This window comes from Homo sapiens, chromosome 6, assembly GCF_000001405.40.
Source record: "Homo sapiens chromosome 6, GRCh38.p14 Primary Assembly".
Taxonomy (NCBI): Eukaryota; Metazoa; Chordata; class Mammalia; order Primates; family Hominidae; genus Homo; species Homo sapiens.
In genome coordinates, this window is record NC_000006.12 from 168,999,409 (window position 1) to 169,021,195 (window position 21,787).

A 21,787-nucleotide genomic window follows, 5' to 3' on the forward strand; every position below is an offset into this window, starting at 1 on the left:
TAGGCTTTAATATAAAATGTAAAAGAAATTTGCATGTGGCTTCTGTGTTTTTTCTGTTTCCCGAGGCAGGGAACCCTGTGGTGGTGTGAGGATGCTGGAGGATATTTGAAATAACTATTACGTAAAATGGCAGGGAGGAAAGCGATGACTCAGGCGGTTTCATAGCACAGTGGGCACGGCGGAGCGTCCGGGCGAGGCTGCTGACTCTCGATGGCAATACCAATCTCAAATTGGCACTGAGATGTAAAGCTGCTGCCGCGTTCACTTTTAGTTCTCTTATTCATTATGTTTGCCCGGTTTTGTGGGTGTGGTGTCATTGCTGTGCTGCTCCTATCTGCACTGACTGCTCCTAGAACTGGGGAGACACAAAGAATGTTGGGGTGCTGTGGTTGAAAAACCCCGGCTCAGGGGGTGTTGATGTGGTTGCATCAGCTCCCATGAATGACTCCATGGGCTAAAATTGAAGATTAAGCAAATCAGGCTTGAAAAAAGGGCCATTTCAGCTCCTGGCTTGGGAGGATAAGCAGAGTAAGTGGGAAAAGGACCATGGTTTGGGATTTTTTTCAGGGGAACGAAAGAAGGGAAGATATGTTGTTTCAGTGCCGTTTTGACTCATCTGTAGGAATAAGTAACTTCAGTGGAAGGAGCCACCCCCTGCATTTTACAGGGTGGTTGTAAACCTCAGGCGTATATGAAAGCGGCCCTGGGTTTTTGAGTTACCCTCGGGCTGTGTTTCCAGTGCTGCCCCGGTGCCTCTGCGGTGGAGGAGCTAGATGCGATTTCACACGGCGAAGGGAGCAGAGGGGTTCCCTGGCTGTGGAGCTCCTGCAGCGGAAGCCAGAGTGTCCATCACCGTCTTCTCTTCACCCACAGCGAGAAAGGAGCATGGCGAATGGGCCGGTATCTGCCCCGATGTCTCACCTTTCCTAGGAATTCAGGCTCCTCACGTATTCCTTGCATATGTAAAGCAGAATGGTGGGTCTCTCCCACCCTCTTCCTTCAGAATTTATAGGAATGCATTCTGGGCAGGCCTGCCCTCCGAAACCCCAATTTCCTCGCTGTTTGTCTTCATGCCCCCTCTTTCCTCCCATGCAGGGCCCAGCCATGTGGACAACGGGGAGGAGCTGGGGCTTTGGGCACAGCCCTGCTGCAGAGCCTGGGCCTGAGCAGCTCTTTGTGAGCCAGGGTCCTGTCACATCCGTCTTCTGTGCCGTCAAATGGATGCCTGCTGACAGTAAGATATGGGCATCAAAGGGAAATATATAGGAATGATCCCTAGTGCCTGATTTGATCTGGAAATGCTCAGACCGTCCTAGAGCAGAAAACAAAGTGGTGTCCTCTGCATGGCCCGGCAAGTCACGAAACACGGGGTCTGAGGCTACTGTGATCTCTTACCCAGCCCATCCAAAGTAAAGCAGAGTTTTGCTTGATTTTCCCTCTGGGTTTGTTCCAACTCCTTCTGAGACCCCATGGGGAAAACAGGAGGCTCGGTTAAATGAGGATTCGGAAACTCAAGGGTCTGCTGGAACGCTGAATTGTAACATCATCTTCACGCTACCCCAATCCGCATGGCTAACATTTTTATAGGAAATGTGTCCCCAAAGTGAACCCTACAGCTTTCAAAGACAGCATTGTAAAAGCATTTATAAAAGCTTCAGGGCTGGAAATGGGGGGGAAATAGAGTAATAACAAATATAGAAAAACCCAATCATAAAGGTAAAGGCAGGATTTGACTGACACTCCCCTGAAGGGGGGGCAGGGGTTGCCCTGGCTGTCCATCTTTCTAACTCCAAGTACATTCAGCAAACAGGACACAGGGCCACCTCTGCCTTCTGGACGAACCTCTGCTTTCCTGGCTATGACACCACTGTGCACCTGCTGATGTGTGCACACAAATGAGGCAGGCTTGGGGTGAGAGATGCCCAGGCAGGAGATCAAGCTGAAGGGACTCTGCTCCCAGATCACCTTGAACCTGAGATGTACTGCAGGTGCGATCTGTTCATACTAACAGCAACAGCTAACATGTCAGCACCTCACGTCCCATGCCAGACACTCTCAGGATGGTGCGAACAGCTCACCCTTGAGCAAGGCAGGGTTAGGGGTGCCAACCCCTCTTATAGTCAAAACTCATGCATAACCTTGACTCCCCCAAAACTTACTACTCATGGCCTGCTGTTGACCCGAAATCTCAACAATAGCATAGTCAATTAACACATATTTTATCTGTGTTTATATGTTTATATTTTGTATGTGTGTTATATGCTGTATTCTTAAAGTAACTAGAGAAAAGAAAATGTGATTAAGAAAACTGTAAGGAAGAGAAGATGTATTTGCTATTCATTAAGTGGGGATGGATCATCATACAGGTCTCCATCCTCATGGTCTTCACATGGGGCATGCAGAGGAGGAGGGGGGCTGGATTTGCTGTCTCAGAGGTGGCAGCAATTAGACTTTAGTCTAACCCCAAGGAAAACGCCAGGCAAATCCCAGTAGAGGGAAGTCCTACAAATACCTGACAAGTGCTCTTCAGAACTGCCAGGGTCACCAGGATCAAGCAAAGTCTGAGAAACTCACAGGCAAGAGTGAGCCAAGGAGGCACTACCCACCAGAGAGGCTCCAGATGAAACCCTGAAAGAGAAAGGGATGTCGGGTGAAAATGAAGGAGGTCAGAGTGTGGACTTTAGTTGGTCAGACTGCACCAACAGTGTCCATCCATTGTGACAAATGGGCTACACTGACATAAGCTGTTACCCCTGGAGTGTGCTAAGTTGGTCATGTGGCTGGATGTGATTTAAGATGATAAATGGATTAGAATAAACAGATGGGGGCCTGGTGCAGGGCTCACGCCTGTAATCCCAGCAATTTGGGAGGCTGAGGCAGGTAGATCACCTGAGGTCAGGAGTTCAAGACCAGCCTGACCAATATGGTGAAAGCTGTCTGTACTAAAAATACAAAAATTAGCCGGGTGTGGTGGTGTGCACCTGTAGTCCCAGCTACTTGGGAGGCTGAGACAGGACAATTGCTTGAAACCAGGAGGCAGAGGTTGCAGTGAGCCAAGATCTTGCCACTGGACCCCAGCCTGGGTGACAGAGTGAGACTTTGTCTCAGAAAAGAAAAAAAAAAGAATGGACAGATGGGTTATAAAAACTCTGAATTACCTTTGCAGTTTTTCTGAAAATCTAAAACTGCAAGCATAAAACTATTTATGAAGTTTAAAGTTTATTAAAAATTCTGGAGGCAAGCAGATAGAAAGACATTTCATAGTGTAGAACAATTATGAATTTGTTTCATTAGAAACAACAGAAGGCACAAAAAATGGAATGATGTCTTTTAAGTGATAGAAACAAAATATGCTAATCTTGATGTCCACATATGATGAAAATATTCTTTAAAAATAAAGGCAGAATAAAGATATTTTCAGATGATCAAAAGCTGAAAGAATGTGTTGGCAAATTTACCACACTAGAATTGCTAAAGAAGGTTTTTCAGTCTGAAGGGAAATGGAAATTTTGATTTATAAAACTGTTGGAAATTGTAAAAATCCGGATCAGTATAAGTGACTTTTTTTTAACTAAATATCTTTAAAAGCTAACTAATTCTTTAAAGTAATATAATGCATAGTAGGACCTATAACGTATGTTGATTTAAGAGATATAATCTACAGTAACACAAAGGTTGAAAGGAGATAAATGGCATTTTACCATTGGAAGGATTTTACATTATACACAAAGCGATAGATTAGTTCAAGTAAATTTTATTAAATTAGCGATGCATATTTATAAACCCTATAGTAATACTAAAATATAATGTAAAGATTTATAGTTATACAAACACGATAGAGGTGTAAATTAAAAAATCCTAAGGCCCCACCAACGATCTGAATGGACTTCCTTCTCGGCCAGGGCACTCTTTTTTTTGAGACAGAGTCTTGCTTTCCCCACCCTGGCTGGAGTCCAGTGGCACAATCTCGGCTCACTGCAACCTCCACCTCCTGGGTTCAAGTGATTATCCTGCCTCAGTTTCCCAAGTAGCTGGAACTACAGGCACCTGCCACCATTCCCGGCTATTTTTTGTATTTTTAGTAGAGATGGGGTTTCACCATGTTGGCCAGGCTGGTCTCGAACTCCTGACCTCAGGTGATCTGCCCGCCTCGGCCCCCCAAAGTGCTGGGATTACAGGCATGAGCCACTGTGCTCTCAGCCAGGGCATTCTTAAAATTTAACCTGAAAGGCTGATTCAGGGAAGTGGGGGTCAGACAGCCCTCACTGTACTTCTCTGGCGTTAATGCTGCCTTCTTGCCAATGCACCACAACGTTTCAGTCTTGTTGTCTGAGGTAGTACCCAGAGTTCTTTGTCTCCTGACCAAGAAAATTAAGGAGCGTGGACACAAGGGTGATGTTGGAGAGAAATTTCAATAAGTGAATGAAGAAAGTTCTCCACAGCAGAGAGGGGGCCTGAAAGAGGATTGCTCTTTTTACAGATTAATCCAAAAGCATTTGTAAGAAAAAGCTTCCCTCATCTCTGTAGCTGTTTGTGTAACTTCCCTTGTCCGTGCAGTGGTTGTCCATGTAACTCTCTTTATCCGTGCAGCTGCGGGTGTGTCTTAGGTAAGCACAAAGTGCAGCTTCTCTTGTTTGTGGAACTGCAGGTATGTTTTAGGTAAGCCCTCCTCCCTGTGCAAGTTCCCATGGACCCCACCATGCACATGCCTGAAAAGGGGAGGAAACTTTCCCAGGAGCCTGTGTATTACCCAAACAACAAAGGCTTCTATGCTGGGCCTTGCTCCATTATCTGTGCAGCTGCAGCCCAAGTTCTCCCCATGCTGCTCTCTCTGTGCCTGTAGCCGTGCTTTTTCAGCCTGCCTTTCTGTTTGAAAGAATTTTACCAAAGACCAGATTTAGCTGTCTGCTCAATTAATTTTTCCTTTTCTCCTCCCTCATTAACATCAACACAGATAAAACACATTTTACAACCTATTCTCTCTGAAGCCTCCCACCCGAAGTCTTCCTTTGCAAATAAGAACTTTGGTTTCCACAATCCTTTATCTTCACCCAGACATTCCTTTCTATTGAACCTAGGTCTTTAGATAAACTCAACCAATTGTTAACCAGAACATTTTCAAATCTACCTATAAGCTAGAAGCCCCCCTTTAAGTTGTCCCACCTTTCTGGACCAAACCAACGTATTTGAAATCTTGTGTCTCCCTAAAATGTATAAAACCAAGCTGTACCCCAACCACCTTGGGCACATGTTCTCAGGACCTCCTGAGGGTCATGGGTCATGGTCACTCATATTTGGCCCAGAATAAATCTCTTCAAATATTTCACAGAGTTTGACTCTTCCTTGACAGAGGAGTTAAAATGAAATCTTAAAAAAAAAAAAATCTTAATCCAAAGTAAGACAAAAAAAAGGAAGCAAGAATAAAAGAACAGAAGATATGGTAGCAGATGTTACCAAGACAGTAGACAGAGGAGAGGAATGTGAGGATGGTGAAGGAAGAACGGTGCAGCAGGAGAAAGGTGGCTGCCAAGGAGAAGAGTTTGTAGTAAGAACCATGGACACACAAAAAACATCAAAGTTTGCATTTTTCTTTGTTAGCAAGATAGAGAGGTGCAAAAACCATCCCTGATGCCCACCATCCTTCCTAGACATCCCCCAAGTGGTGCAGCATTCTCAGTTATTAACCCACCAGTTATTTGAAGAAATTGCTCAGATCTCAATGGAAGAATTTCCAGTTAAGGAACAAGAGGAGCGAGACGTTATTTTTAGTAATCATTGGTTTTCAGTTGGCTCAACTGCACCAAGTTCCTATGAGATGTAATCTCTTAGGTCATGAATTGAAACACTGTTTGCAAGCAAGTGAAGCGCATGGTCTCAGTTCCCTCATTGAATATAAAAATTCTCAGGCAAGCCATTTGACGTAAAAATAATGACTATTCCAAAAGGCTATTCTTATAAGCTCTAAGACATTTATGACTAAGCTATGTGTGAAAAGATTTCAACTTAAGCACAGAGTAAGTGGAATGTGCTATTTCTATCAAGGTATTTTAAGCTGTAGTCATGTTTGACTTATTTATTTTTACATGTTCCATGGCTTTCCAGGGACGCTGCGAGTTCCCCGGGCTGTCTCCTGCGTCAATACGCTCAGGATAAAAGTGATTGTGTAGCTTTCCTCAAACAAGCAGAAATAAAAATAAAAGTTGTCAAAGGCTTAAAGATAACATGCTACCTTTGGAGGTAACTGCTTCTACACAGCCTGAAGTTCTTTTGGTTCTAAGGAATTCCTTCCAAACGAGATAAACGAACCCAAAGTTCATGGTGACCCATGTGATTCCCCACTAACTACCTTCACCACGATTGGAACCACTCACACATGTTGAGTCAAAGTTCGATCCCAGAAAGCGTGAGCATGAGGAGCCCCAAGCAGACAATCTTGCTGTATGTCCTCTCACTGGCAACTTGGCGCCATGGAAACAGCAAGGATTTGGGAATCAGAGATGTGGGTTTCAACCCAGGTCACCTCATGTGTGAAGTTGGGATAATAATGGCCTTAGCAGAAGAATGTGGAGATTAAATGACAGCAACCTTCTAGCACAGGCCTGCTCTGGCAGATAGCAGTGAATATTGGTTTTGTTGATAAGAGTCAAACTCTGTAAAATATTGGAAGAGATTTATTCTGAGCCAAAGATGAGTGACTGTGGCCTGTGACACAGCCCCTAGGAGGTCCTGAGAACATGTCCCCAAGGTGGTGGGGCACAGCCTAGTTTTATACATTTTAGAAAGACATGAGACTTCAACCAAATACATTTTAAAAATGCATTGGTTCAGTTCAGAAGCATGGGATAGGTTATAGGTAGGTTTTAAAATTTTCTGGTTAACAATTGGTTGAGTTTACTTAAAGACCTGAGATCAATAGAAAGGAAATGTCTGGATTGCCATAAGAGGTGGGGGAGACCAAAGCGTTTTCCTGCAGACAGGCGTCCAGGTAGCAGGTGTCCTGGAGAATGGATTCTAAGTGTTTCTCATTAGACTTTAAGGTCTGTGTTGATGTTAATGCTGGAGGGTGTAAGGAGGCCTGCCTGGCCCCACTTCCCTTCATGGGCTGAACCAGTCTTCCAGGTTACATTTTAGAGCACCCTGGCTCAGGAGGAAGTCCACTGAGAAGATTGAGGGACCTTCAAGTTTTATTTTTGGTTTACAGTTTCTTTCTTCTTTCTTCAGCGACTTTGACCATATTTGGACTTACTGAAACTATTCTGAAACATGGATTCTCTCTTGAACCCCAGAGATGTTTTATTAATTTTCTGCTGTGAAAACCAGTTTTCTTAGTGGCTGAGTTCCCAATTCCTAACCACCACAATACCCATGATCCATATTCTGTAACCAGAACTAGACTTCCCAAACGCCCAATGACCACGTAGTTATTCAAAGCTTTATTCTTACCTGCAAGCAGAAATTTGAAGATAAAAAAAAAAACTTTCAGGTTATCACCCTTTTTTCAGTCATGTAGGATTTTAGGGTTTGGGTAGAGGTCGTCCTCAAAATGTTATTAAAGACAATAAACACACCTTGTGTTTTCCTTCCTTTTTTTTTCAGTTCTCTGGAATTCAATTTGTTGTTTTGTAAAAATATCTGCTGGAGGCAATTCAAGATGCCTTTTAACTGATAAAGAGGGGACTTTCAAATGCAGATCTTAAAGTCCTGAGTAAATATACAAGACAATAAACTATTATTTGATATTTTTCTCTTCCTTGTTTAGCATAGTTATTTAGGCTTTTCTGGTAAAAATAAATGGATATTTTTGGTAACTAATATGTACTTTCCATGCTGGATATAGTATAGCCCTTAAATGAATGTTTTAGCCAGCTTTCATTTTGGGTGTAGATGGTAATCAGTCTTTCTGATAGCAAAACAGAAAGAAAACAATAAAATCAGATTCAAGTGACACATTTCCAAAACAATAAATTTCCCTGGTTATTGCTACAGAATCTGATAAATTTGGTGAGTTAAAACAGTAATTGGAACAAAAGTTCTGTATCTAAGTTTCACTTCATTTGATATTTATCAAGTTTATAAAGTTAATTAGTATATATACTCTTCAGCCTATAGCTTCTCTTGGATGAGGTGTAGTTATAATGCCTTCTTCAGTGAGTATTTTATTATAATTAAATGATATGTTGCCATTTTTGTGGAATAAATCTTTTGAAGGAAATAGATATTAAATCACCTTAAGAAGACTGAGGGGTGAAAATATCACTGTGTAACAATTTTCATGTCTTTAAGTGATAATACGGGTAAAATGCCACTTATTTTACCCAATCAAAGTATTACTGTTTAATTTACTATAGATCACATTATAAGTAGAAAAAGCAAAGCTAATTAGCCTTGGATAATGTCACCTCCATACGTAGAGTGGCATGGAACAAGGATGGCTGGACCGGCATGGGGAGCTGCCGCTATGTCCACGTAATTCCGGCTGGTGGAAGAAGTTAGAGAGAAGGAGAAAACCCTTACTGTTGGGAACCCTGAAAATCTGAGACAGGTCTCAGTTAATTTAGAAAGTTTATTTTACCCAGGTTGAGGATGCACACCCATGACACAACCTCAGGAGGTCCCAACAGCATGTGCCCAAGGTGGTCAGGTTGCTTTTACGCATTTTAGGGAGACATGAAACGTCAATCAACATATGTAAGATGAATACTGCTTCGGTCCAGAAAAGTGGGACAACTCAAAGCAGAGGCAGAACGAAGCAGGGAGGGGGCTTCCAGTCACGGTGGAAAAGAGACAAATGGTTGCATTGTTTTGAGTTTCTGAGTAGCCTCTCCAAAGGAGACAATCAGATATGCATTTATCTCAGTGAGCAGAGGGGTAACTTTGAATAGAATGGGAGGCAGGTTGGCCCTAAGCAGTTCCCAGCTTAACTTTTCTCTTTAGCTTAGTGATGTGGGGGCCCCAAGATGTATTTTCCTTTAACCCTGTGGATACCACAGGACCCCAGTGTCACCAACAGTTTTGCTTCCTCATGGTACCTTGTTGTACCTACCATCATCTTCCCCCTAAGCCAGGTGTGTTTCTATTTTTTAAAGTAACTATTGAAGTCTAATTCACGAATAAGAAAATATACTTCGTTTATACTTCAGCGAATTCTGGCCAATATAAACTGGTACAGTTGTGACCAGATGGAGGGTCCTGATGATGAGTCGTCTAGGTTCTTGGCACATTGAACAAAGACTTGAACAGCACACATGAACAACGAAAGCATAGATTTACTAAAGCAAAAGACAACAGAAGCATAGACTTAAAAAGGCCAACGTACACTCCACAGGATCGGGGGTGCTCAAGCAAGGGCACAAGAGCTCTGGTTACAAAATTCTCTGGGGTTTAAGTGCCCTCTAGAGGTTTTCCATTGGGTAAACTTTATGTAAATGAGGGATTGAAGTGAAGGTTTGGCTCATGGCCAATCAGAGGCTGAAATAGATTGGAGCCTTATGCAAATGAAGGATTAGCCCACTCTTGGCCTGTGGCCAATCAGAGGTCAAAGTGAATTGGTACATTATGCAAATGAAGGATTGACCCATGCTTGACCTGTGGCCAATCAGAGGCACTTTCCATTTTTCAGCAGAAGGGGTTGATATAGAGGGAGTAGCCTCTGATCCTTTGTCATTTGGGCATGAAGAGGTGGGGTTTTCCTTTTGATCCAGTTCTAAGAAGTCAGTGCAAATCGGCCTCAGGTTCCCAGCCTCCAGACCCTATTCTTCTGCCTCATAGTCACTACACCAACACACAGCAGAGTCCCATCCTCCCAGTGGCCTCTTCCCAGTCACCCCCTCTACCAAGCCTGGCCCAAGGCAACCACTTTCTATTACTATAGATTTGGTAAGTCTTTCCTAGATTTCATATAAATTGAAATATACATTATTGCAATTTTTTTGTCTGGCTTCTTTTGCTCAGCACAATGTTTTTGAGCTAACCCACCCTTTTGTTGATATCAATTATTTCTGAATTTTAATTGCTGCCCCATATTGCATCGTATGGCCACACAGCATCTTGTGCGTTCATTCACAGTTGGTGGGCATAGGGATCATTTCCAGCTGTTGGCCGTTACCAATAAAACCTCCATGATCATCCACATTCACGTCTTTTGTGAGCAGACATTCTCACTTATTTTTTGTAAATACCTAGTTGCGGAATTTCTGGGTCATAAGGAAAGTGCATGTTTAACCCTAAAATCCTGCTCAATTGCTTTTCAAAGTGGTTGTATCATTTCACATCCCCAACAGCAAAGTGTAGGCCTTTCAGCTGCCTAGGATCATATTCAGTGTTGAAAGACTGTTAGCAGCCGCTTAAATTTAGGCCATTTTAATATGCATATTTTGGTCATTATGACTCCAACTTTTATTCGTTGATGACTTCAGATGTTCAACATCTTTTCATGTGCTTATGACAGTTTGTCCTGCTGGAAAGTATGTTTTTGAAAATTTTCCTCATTTTTCATGCTTTGTTTATCTCATTGAATTACAAGTGTTCTCTACATGTCTGGACACAGGCTATTGATTTATGTGGCTTGCCTTTTCTTCCTTTTCGTTTTTTCAAGAGCAGAATTTTTTAGTTCTGATAAAGTCCAATTTATCAAATTTTTCTTCTATGATACATTTATATTGTTTTCTATCTAAGAGATAACCCCAAAGTCTCAAATATTGTTTTCCACAATTCCCTCAAAAGTTCTTAGTTTTAGCTTTTATGCTTAGGTCTAAAATACATTTTTTTTTTTTTTGAGACAGCCTTGATCTGTCACCCAGGCTGGAGTACAGTGGCATGATCTCAGCTCACTGCAATCTCTGCTCCTGGGTTCAAGTGATTCTTGTGCCTCAGTCTCTCGAGTAGCTGGGATTATAGGCAGGTGCCACCATGCCCGGCTATTTTTTTCCATGTTTAGTAGAGACTGGGTTTCACTGTGTTGGCCAGGTTTGTCTTGAACTCCTGGCCTCAAGTGATCCACTCACTTCAGCCTCCCAAAGTGCTGGGATTACAGGCGTGAGCCATAGCACCCAGCCAACAATGTATTTTTAATTAATATTTGTCACTGGTGTGATGTAAGTGTCCAGGTGTTTTTTCCTTGCATTTTAATTCAGTTGTTCCAATATCATTTGTTAGAAACACTGTCATTTCTCACATTGATTTGTATTGCCAAACTCATCAAAAACTCAATGGCCATATGCGTGTAAGTCCGCTTCTGAATGCTCTGTTGTGTGCTATTGATCAATATGTCTATCTTGCCGTATTCCACTCTCTTCATTTTGGTGTCTTTATGCAATTTTTGAAATCAGATTGTGAGACACAATTTTTTAAAGTTGCATTTAACACTTTAGATCCTTTATATTCCCATGTAATTTTACAATCAGCTTGTCGATTTGAAAAAAAAAAGACTCTTGGGAATGTTGAATAAAATTGTTTCGAGTTTGTCAATATCAAATTGGGCAAAGCTGGCACTATAATAACATTGAGTCTTTTGATTTATGAACAACATCTATCTCTCCATTTATTCAGGTCTTCGTTAATTTAATTCTGTCAGCAGTATTTTTGGATGTCAATTTATACATCTTGTTCATATTTTAGGCTTAACTTTAAGTATGTCATATTTTGATGCTGTTGTAAATGGGACTTCAACTATAAACTTCCATTTTTTGATAGTATGTAGGAATAAGTGATATTTACTTTTTGTTTTTATTTTGAAATGGAGTCTAGCTCTGTTGCCCAGGCTGGAGTGCAGTGGCGCCATCTTGGCTCACTGCAACTGCCCCTCCTGGGTTCAAGCGCTTCTCCTGCCTCAGCCTCCTGAGTAGCTGGGACTACAGGCATGTGCCACTGCGCGCAGCCGATATTTACATTTTTATCTGATGCTCAGAAACCTTGCAGAGTACACTAGTTAGTTCTAGTCTCTATTTCATAGATTCTTTAGGATTTTCCATGTTCATGATCATGCCATTTGTGAATAAAGACAGTTTCACTACTTCTTTTCCAACATATATGCCCTTTATCCTTTGTTTTTGCCTTATTACATGGGCTACAAGCTGGAATTTTTGGTTAAAAAGTTTCCATTTTTTTCTAATATATAAAAGATTTATTAGGTCTTCTATTTTTTCTTAAGACAGCTCTGGCAATTTGTGTCTTTTGAGGAATTTATCCATTTTATTTAACATCAAATTTGTTAGTGTGAAATTTCACATAAAATTTCTTAATTATTCTCTGAAATCTGTAGAATCTTAAGAAAGTGTACCTTTCACTTACCATCTTAGTAGAGTGATTCTTCCCTCATTTACTATTATTCCGTCTGGCTGGAGTTTTAGAGATTTTATTGATCTTTTCAAAGGACCAATTTTGGTTCTATTGATTTTTTTCTCTTTCTTTGTCTATTTTCATTTTAATGATTTGTATTGTCTTCCTTTTTTCTTTAATTTTATTTACTTCATTTACTTTGATCATCCTTTTCAGGTTCTTGAAGACATTTGCATCATTGACTTCCACATGAGCACTTCAAGCATGATAGTATCCTCTAAGCATTTGTTTAATTATATTGCAAATTGTTTGAATTTGTTTTATTTTTATTAGTTTTTAAGATGTGTTCTAGTTTCCCCTGTGGTTTATTTATTTATTTATTTTTGTCCCATGGGTTACTTTGAAAATTTATAAGATTATTTCCAAATATTTAATGATTTTTCAGATATTTCTGTGATTGATTTCTAATTAATAGCATTATGGTGAATAAATGTACTCTGTACAATTTTAAGCATTTACAACATGTTTTGAGATTTGTTTTGTGGCTAAAATGTATGGCCTTTCCTTTTTTTAAAAAAAATGGTGGTATAATATATTATTTTATTTTATTCTTCTTTTTTAAACTTTTATTTCAGGTTCAGGGGTACCTGTGCAGATTTGTTATAAGGGAAATTGCTAGTCACAAGGGTTTGGTGTGCAGACTATTTTGTCAGACAGGTAATGAGCATGGTACCCAACAGGGAGTGTTTTGATCCTCGTATTCCTCTCGGCCTCCACCCTCAAGTAGGCCCCAGTGCCTGTGAGCCCTTCTTTGTGTCTGCATGTACTCAAAGTTTAGTTCCCATTTATGAGTGAGAACATGTGATATTTGGTTTTCTGTTTCTGCATTAATTGGCTTAGAATAATGGCCTCCAGCTTCATCCATGTTGCTGCAAAAACTGTGATCTCATTCTTTTCATGGCTGCATAGTATTCCATGGTGTATATGTATCACATTTTTAAAAATCCAGTCTACCATTGATGGGCATTTGGGTTGATTCCATGTCTGCTATTATGAATAGTGCTGCAATGAACATATGGGTGCATGTGTCTTTGCGGTAGAACGATTTGTATTCCTTTGAGTATATGCTCAATAATGGGATTGCTAGGTGAAATGGTAGTTCTGTTTTAAGTTCTTTGAGAAATCCCCAAACTGCTTTCCACAATGGCTAAACTAATTTACATTTCCAACAGCAGTGTATAAGTATTCTCTTTTCTCCACAACCTCAGCAGGATCTGTTATTTTTTGGCTTTTTAATAATAGCCATTCTGGCTGGTGTGAGATGGAGTCTCACTGTGGCTTGATTTGCATTGCGGTAATGATTAGTGATATTGAGCATTTTTTCGTACACTTATTGGCCCCATATATATGTTCTTTTGAAAAGTGTCTGTTCATGTTATTTGACCACTTTTTCACAAGCAAAAAACAACCCCATGAAAAAGTTTAATAATAGTCATTCTGGCTGGTGTGATTTTGAATATTAGACTTTTGTCAGATACACAGCTTACAAATATTTTCTCCCATTCTATAGGTTGTCTGTTTACTCTATTTATAGTTTATTTTGCTGTATGGAAGTTCTTTAATTAGATCCCATTTGTCAATTTTTGTTTTTGTTGCAATTGCCTTTGGCATCTTCATCGTAAACTCTTTGCAAGTCCTATGTCCAGAATGGTATTTCATAGGTTATCTTCCAGGGTTTTTATAGTTTTAGGTTCCATCTTTAAGTCTTTAATCCATCTTGAGTTTATTTTTGTATATGGTGTAAGGAAGGGGTCCAGTTTCAATCTTCTGCATATGGTTAGCCAGTTATTCCAGCACTGTCTATTGAATAGGGAGTTCTTTCCCCATTGCTTCTTTTTGTTTATTTTGTCAGAGGTCAGATGGTTGTAGGTATGTAGCATTATTTCTGGGCTCTCTATTCCGTTCCATTGGTCTCTGTGTCTGTTTTTATACCAGTACCCTGTTGCTTTGATCACTATAGGCTTGTAGTATAATTTGAAGTTGGGTAATGTGAAGCCTTCAGTTTTGTTCTTTTTGCTAAGAATTGTCTTGGCTATTCAGGTTCCTATTTGGTTCCATATAAATTTTAAACTAGTTTTTTTTTCTAATTCCATGAAGAATGCCATTGAAAGTTTGATAGGAATAACATTGACTCTGTAAATTGATTTGGGTGGTATGCCCATTTTATTGATATTGATTCTCCCTATCCTTGAGCTTGGGATGTTTTTCCATTTGTTTGTGTCCTTTCTGATTTCTTTGAGTAGTGTTTTGTAGTTCCCCTTGTAGAGCTCTTTGACCTCCTTGCTTAGCTATATTTCTAGGTATTTTAATATTTTTGTGTCTATTTTGAATGGGATTGTGTTCTTGATTTGGCTCTCAGCTTGGATGTTGTTGGTGTACAGGAATGCTACTGATTTTTTGTACATTGAATTTTTATCCTGAAACTTTGATCAAGTTATCAGATCCAGGAACTTTTAGGAAGAGATTACGAGGTTTTCTAGGTATAAAATCATGTCATCTGAAAACAGGAACAGTTTGACTTCCCCTCTTCCTATTTGGATGCTTTTTGTTTCTTTCTTTCTCTTGCTTGATTGCTCTAGCTAGGACTTCCAGTACTATGTTGAATAGATGTGGTTTTCCTTGTCTTGTTTCAATTTTCAAGAGGAATGCCTCCAGCTTTTGCCTATTCAGTATGATGTTGGCTGTGGGTTTTTGATAGATGGTGACATGATTTGGCTGTGTCCCTGCCCAAATCTCATCTTGAATTGTAGTTCCCATAATCCCCATGTGTCATGGGAGGGACCCGGTGGGAAGTAATTGAATCATGTGGGCAGTTACCCCCACGCTGTTCTCATGATAGTGAGTGAGTTCTCACAAGATCTGATGGTTTTATAAGGGGCTTTTCCCCCTTTGCTTGGCACTTCTCTCTTCTGCTGCCATGTGAAGAAGGATGTGTTTGCTTCCCCTTCTGCTATGATTGTACGTCTCCTGAGGCCTCCGCAGTCATGCAGAACTGTGAGTGAATTAAACCTCTTTCCTTTATAAATAACCCTGTCTCAGTATGACTTTATTAGCAATGTAAGAATGGACTAATACAGATGGCTTTTATTTTTTTGAGGCATGTTTCTTTAATGCCTAGTTTGTTGAAGGTTTTTTTACATGAAGGGATGTTGAATTTTTCCCAAGGCTTTTTATGCATCCATTGAGATGATAATGTGGTTTTTGTTCTTAGTTCTTTGTATGTGGTGAATCACATGTATTGATTTGTGTATGTTGAAGCAGCCTTTCTTTTGCATCCCCAGGATAAAGCCTACTTGATTGTGGTGGATTAGCTTTTTGATGTGCTGCTGTATTTGGTTTGCTAGTATTTTGTTTTGCATCTATGTTCATCAAGGATGTTGGCTGAAGTTTTCTTTTTTGGTTGTGTCTCTGCCAGGTTTTGGTATCTGATGCTGGCTTCATAGAATGAGTTAGGGAGGAGTCCCTCCTCCTTGATTTTAAAAAATAATTTGAGTTGGAATCGTATTAGCTCTTCCTTATACATCTGGTAAAATTTGGCTGTGAATCCACCTGGTCCTGGGATTTTTCTGGTTGGTAGGCTTTTTATTACTGATTCAATTTTAGAACTCATTATTAGTCTCTTTAGGGATTCAACTTTTCTTTGGTTCAATCGTGGGAGGTTGCATGTTTCATGGAATTTATCCATTTCTTCTAGGTTTTCAGCTTGTGGGCATAGAGGTGTTCATAATAGTTTCTGAGGTTTTTTTCTATTTCTGTGGGGTCAATGATAATGTCCCTTTTGTCATTTTTGATTGTGTTTATTTGCATTTCCTCTCTGTTTTTCTTCATTAGTTTAGCTAGTGGTCGATCTTATTAATTCTAAGAAGCAGCACTTGGATTCAATGATCTTTCGTATTTTTTTTTTTGCATCTCTATTTTCTTCAGTTCAGCTTTTATTTATTTCTTGTCTTCTTCTATCTTTGGAGTTGGCTTGCTCCTGTTTCTCTAGTTCCAGCATTTATGATGTCAGGTTATTAATTTGAGATCTTTCTAATTTTTGATGTGGGTGTTTAGTGCTATAAACTTTCTTCTTAACACTGCTTTGGCTGCGTCCCAGAAATTCTGGTATGCTGTATCCTTTTTTCTCATTAGTTTCAAAGAATTCCTTGGTTTCTGCCTTAATTTCATTATCTATGCAGAAGTCATTCAGGAGCAGGTTGTTTAATTTCCATGTAATTGTATAGTTTTAAGTGATTTTCTTGCATTGATTTTTATTTTTATTGCACTGTGGCCTGAAAGTGTGGTTGGTATGAGTTTAATTTTTTTTAATTTGCTGAGGATTGTTTTATGCCTGGTTGTATGGTTGATTTTAGAATATGTTTTATGTGCAGATGAGAAAAAGGTATATTGTGTTGTTTTTGGGTGGAGAGTTCTGTAGATGTCTATCAGGTCTATTTGGTCAAGTGTTGAGCTCAGATCCCAAATATCTTTGTTAGTTTTCTGCCTTGATTATCTGTTTAATACTGTCAGTGGGGTGTTGAAGTCTCCCACTATTATTGTGTGCATATCTAAGTCTCTTTGTAGGTCTCTAAGAACTTGTTTTATAAAGCTGGGTGCTCTTGTGTTGGGTGCATATATATTTAGGATAGTTAGGTCCTCTTTTTGAATTGGGCCCTTTACCATTATGTAATGCTCCTCTTTGTCTTTTTTGATTTTTGTTGGTTTAAAGTCTGTTTTTGTCTGAAATTAGAATAGCAATCCTTGCCTCTTTATGTTTTCTGTTTGCTTCATAGATTTTTCTCCATCCCTTTGCTTTAAGACTATGAGTGTCATTGCATGTGAGATAGGTCTCTGAAAGACCGCATATAGTAGGGTTTTACTTCTTTATCCAACTGCTACTCTGTCTTTTGATTTGGGCATTAAGCTGGTTCACATTCAAGGTTAGTATTGATATATGCAGATTTGATCCTGTCATCATGTTGTTAGCTGATTATTATACAGACTTGTATGTGTGGCTGCTTTATAGTGCCATGGTCTATATACTTAAGTGTGGTTTTGTAGTGACCTTTAATGGTCTTTCATTTCCATATTTAGCACTCCCTTCAGGACCTCTTGTAAGGCAGGTCTGGTGGCATTTAATTCCCTTAACATTTTCTTGTCTGAAAAGAATCTTATTTCTCCTTCACTTATTCAGCTTAGTCTGGCTGGATATAAAATTCTTGGTTGAAAATTCTTTTCTTTAAGAATACTAAATTTAGGCCCCCAATCTCTTCTGGCTTGTATGGTTTCTGCTGACAGGTCTACTATTAGCCTTATGGGGTTCCCTCTGTAGGTGACCTGACCCTTCTCTCTAGCTGCTTTCCACATTTTTTCTTTCATTTCAACCTTGGAGATTCTGATGACTGTGTGTCTTGGGGATGGCCTTCTTGTGTCATATTTTTCAGGGGTTCTTTGCATTTCTTGAATTTGAATGTTGGCCTCCCTTGTGAGGTTGGGGAAATTTTCATGGATGATATTCTGAAATATGTTTGCAAGCTGTTTAGTTTCTCTCTCTGTCTTTCAGAGATGCCAACATGTCATAGGTTTGGGCTCTTTACATAATCTCACAATTCTAAGAGGTTTCGCTCATGAGTATTTATTGTTTTGTCTTCATTTTTGTCTGAATGAGTCATTTTGGAGAGCCAGCCTTCAAGGTCTGAGATTCTTTCCTCAGCTTGGTCGATTCTTCTGTTAATATTTGCAATTGCATTATAAAATTCTTGTCATGTGTTTTTCAGCTCTATCAGATCAGTTTTGTTCTTTCTTACAGTGGCCATTTTGTCTATTAGCTCCTGTATTGTTTTATTATAATCCTTAAATTTCTTGGATTGGGTTTTTACTCTCTCCCATATGTTGATGATCTTCATTTTTATCCACATTCTGAATGATATTTCTGACATTTCAGCCATTTCAGCCTGGTAAAGAACCATTGCTGGGTAATTAGTGTGGTGGTTTGAAGGTAAGAAGACTCTCAGGGTTGTTAAATTGCCAGAGTTCTTGCAGTGGTTCTTTCTTATCTTTGTAGGATGATGTTCTTTCAATCTTTGAAGTTGCTGTCCTTTGGGTGGTTTTTTTTTTCTTCTTTTATGCCCTTGGGAGTTTGATTATGGTATAAGGTGGGTTCAGTTAACTGGCTTTGATTCTAGTTCACTCCTGGGTCTTGGAGGAGCCTCTTCTGATTACCATCTCTATGCTTGTATCTCTTTTGCTGGGTGTTCTTGTCCCCAGGGCTCCCTCAGGCAGGGGCTGCAGTTGGCAGACAGGCTGTATCCCTGCCAGGTCAACCCTAATCTACTGTTCATGTGCTTCCTGGGGAAGCACAGGATTGCACCTGCCCACAGACTTCAGGTGGAAGCCAAATCACTGTGTTGGAAGCTGTAGCAGGTGTCACCCATCTGGCTATGGGAGGTATGGATGAATGGAGTTGCCTGCACTGCCATCTGAATGTTTCCAGGGCAATAGGAGGCTGTGTCCCTTGGAAAATTCAGACAGAAGTGGGACCACTGGTCCAGAAGCTCTAGCAGGCATTGCCTGCCTGGCTATTAGCAGCAAGCATGAGTGAGGAAGCCTGCCCTGCCATCCAGATGCTTCCTCAGACAACAGGAAGCTGTGTCCACCAGCTGAGTTCCCACAGAAGCAGGATCATGGGGTCAGAAGCTCTAGCAGGCATTGCACACCTGGCTAAAATGGTGGGGGCAGGTTGGGGGGGTTGCACTTCCTGCCATCTGGGTGATTCCTGGGACAACAGGAGGCTGTTTCCTCCAGCTGAGTTCTCACAAAAGAGGGGCCACTGGGCTGGAAGCTCTAGCAAGTGTTGCCTGCTGGGCTACCAGTGGCAGGGGTGGGTGGAACGGCCAGCTGACTTAGGGCCCAAGTGGGATTGCTGGGCTTGAAGCTGGTGCTGAGCCCTGTCTGGCAAGGGGACATGGAGAAATCCCTCTGCTCCCAACCACTGTCACTGCAGCCGCTACTGGGGCCATGGCACCGGTACTGGCCTGCTTTGGGGCCCAAGGCTTGTAGACTCGAGAATTGCCCCTGCAAAATGTCCAGGTGGCTCTCTGCCTCAGTGTAGAAGCATGGAGGGGGGTACACGGGGGCCAGGGGAATTCTCCTGTTCCCAGTCTTGCACAGGTCCTTGTGGAGAGCATGAATCCCCCAGGGGCTCTCACTCTCTCACCCTTTCTTGCATTAGAGAGGTTCTCCTGGCTCCACAGTGAGCCCAGACAGGCTGGTATCCAGCTTCACTCCTCTCTGCTATCTGTGTCCCCTGCTTCCTTGATGGATCCCATTGTGGTTTCTCAGATGATCAGCTTGCAGGGTCAGTGTTTACCAGCCCTTTTGTTTCCTGTGACAGCACATGAGCTGCTTCTAGTTCGCCACCTGGGCCCCATCCCCAGTCTTTCTTGATAAATGTATTCTGTGTATTTGAAAACAGTATCTACCCTTCAGTTGTTGACTGAAATATTCTATAAACATAAATTAGTTCTAGGTAATTAGTAATATTGTTTTAGTCTTCTATAATCTCCCAAAGACACACTTTTAATATTTACTTTAATCTGAAAATACTTTTAAAATTAAAATGCCTGGTGGATTGGTCATAGGGGACACGGAGCTCTGCTTGCTTTCCTGATGAGCCTTGGACCTGAGTGGCCCCAGAGAAGAATTCTGCTGCTTCAACGCAACCATCAGTGGCAGCAGATTTTTGTCATCACCAGCTTAATCTTCAAGCATTTGTTAAGAATCCCATTGGGCTGTATTACCCAAAGACCTAGATTCCATTCTACTATATTAGAAGTCACTGAAAAAAATTAAAGCTTTAGTATTTTTTAAATGGAGCTATGTTGAGTTTTGCCCCTGGACCTTTTTGCAGTGATTTCTGCTAAATCTTCAACATGTTTTCTTTTTATTTTTGGGGAATCTGTGAGCCCCATCTCTAGTTTATGTGTTTGGAGTTTAACTCAAGCTTAGTGCTACAGTTTGAATGTGCTACCCAAAATTCATGTGCTGGGAACTTAATCCTCAATGCAACAGTGTTGAGAAGTGTGAGCTAATAAGAGATGTTGACGTCGTGAGGGCTCTGCCCTCGGGAAAGGATTAATATTGTTAGTGCAGTAGTGTTATAACAGAGAGTTTGGCCTCCTCTTGCCCTCTCTCACTCTTGTCCTCTCTTGCCCTCCTGTCTTCTGCCATGAGATGACACAGCCTGAAGGCCCTAGTCAGATTCTGGCACCATGCTCTTGAACTTTCCTGCCTCCAGAATTGTGAGCCAAATAACCTTCTATACTTTATAATAAACTACTCTGTCTGTATTCTGTTATAGCAGCAGCCAACGGACCAAGGCACTTAGCTCATAAGAGATGAGTATGACCCTGTCCGAATCACCTGGGGACGTCCCATGAAGCTGTTAGGAGAGAGAAGTATTTGCTTTTTGCCCCTGGACTTGAATCTGGGAGGATCCAGGGTGTAGCTGCCAATAGGCAAAGTGCAACACAAGGGGTCAGCACTGACTGAACCAGAGGCAAAGCCTGGAGACACTGGATCCTAGTGAGTCAGGGGACTGTATCCACCTGCAGCTACCAACGTGCCACGTGGGCTTGTAGATGGGCAGCAGCCAATGAAGTTATTCCGTTCTTCCCTACACCAATTTTGAGGTGCTTTTTGCTGTTGTTGTTGTCTTCCCCAGTTGCTTGCAGCTATTAGGGCCCAAAATGATCTAGGTGTTATCAAAAATCCTAGCTTGTATATGAAAGTGTCAACACGTGTTTTCTGGTGTGTATCTGTCTGGGTGTGCGTTCCCATAAGACAGTGAGTGTACTTTGTTCTGATCATATTTGCATCTTTGCTGTTCCAGAGATAGTACCTAATAAATGGCTAATGAGGAAGTGAATTACTGAAATGTCTTTAATGTAGAGTAAGGAAAAGTATGAAATACTTGCCTGAGTCCTATAATTTTCAATAATTTAGGACTGCCAGTTAAATTCTTTTTGTAGAAATTTCTGGTTGAATACAGCAGAAACCGCAACTTAACTATTATCAGTTTTTGTATCCCCCTCACACACATCAGATGATGCCCTTCTTCTGAGACACTTGTGTTGGCTGCACCTTGCAGGACAAGTTTAAACCATAAGCTGCGTGAAAGTAGGGACTCTAGTATCCTCAGTGCCTGGCATGTGATGGCAAGGCATGGTGGCAGATGCGTCCCGACCATTGTACAGGCTCTGCCTTCTGGAAACGCCCCTTCTGGAACTTGCCTATGGTGGAGCACTGTTGCAACATCTGCCTTCCTGGAGGGTACAAAGGGGCAAATGCTGTGTCTTCCACGGAACTTATTCCAGCTTCACGGTGGGGTGAGTTCCTGGGACAGGCAGATGCTGGCCCTTCTCACTGCACCCCCACTCCCCAGGTTACTTCTCGCCCTTGTTTCTCATAGGTC

The 21,787-nt window shown here is 41.1% G+C and overlaps 1 long non-coding RNA gene across 2 annotated transcripts in view, besides 4 other annotated features; it reads left to right on the forward strand.

Annotated features, from left to right (window-relative positions):
- LOC105378145 (uncharacterized) overlaps positions 1–21,787 on the forward strand; it is a 59,736-nt gene that overhangs the window by 35,033 nt on the left and 2,916 nt on the right. The window contains exons 4-5 of one of the 2 annotated variants that reach the window (XR_943299.3): positions 1,096–1,234; positions 7,597–7,693. The exons of the other annotated variant lie outside the window; for it this stretch is intronic. This is a non-coding gene — a long non-coding RNA (uncharacterized LOC105378145). Of the gene's footprint in view, positions 1–1,095; positions 1,235–7,596; positions 7,694–21,787 lie in introns of those variants that run through there. 2 annotated transcript variants of the gene reach the window in all.
- Positions 944–1,443: an enhancer, noted in NCBI's record as "H3K4me1 hESC enhancer chr6:169400447-169400946 (GRCh37/hg19 assembly coordinates)". NCBI's record gives its function as "activates a minimal SCP1, AML or CMV promoter by ChIP-STARR-seq in primed H9 embryonic stem cells {active_cell/tissue: H9 hESC(primed)}" and the evidence as "EXISTENCE:reporter gene assay evidence [ECO:0000049][PMID:30033119]".
- Positions 7,387–7,913: an enhancer, noted in NCBI's record as "NANOG hESC enhancer chr6:169406890-169407416 (GRCh37/hg19 assembly coordinates)". NCBI's record gives its function as "activates a minimal SCP1, AML or CMV promoter by ChIP-STARR-seq in primed H9 embryonic stem cells {active_cell/tissue: H9 hESC(primed)}" and the evidence as "EXISTENCE:reporter gene assay evidence [ECO:0000049][PMID:30033119]".
- Positions 18,601–19,217: an enhancer, noted in NCBI's record as "H3K27ac-H3K4me1 hESC enhancer chr6:169418104-169418720 (GRCh37/hg19 assembly coordinates)". NCBI's record gives its function as "activates a minimal SCP1, AML or CMV promoter by ChIP-STARR-seq in primed H9 embryonic stem cells {active_cell/tissue: H9 hESC(primed)}" and the evidence as "EXISTENCE:reporter gene assay evidence [ECO:0000049][PMID:30033119]".
- Positions 19,218–19,833: an enhancer, noted in NCBI's record as "H3K27ac-H3K4me1 hESC enhancer chr6:169418721-169419336 (GRCh37/hg19 assembly coordinates)". NCBI's record gives its function as "activates a minimal SCP1, AML or CMV promoter by ChIP-STARR-seq in primed H9 embryonic stem cells {active_cell/tissue: H9 hESC(primed)}" and the evidence as "EXISTENCE:reporter gene assay evidence [ECO:0000049][PMID:30033119]".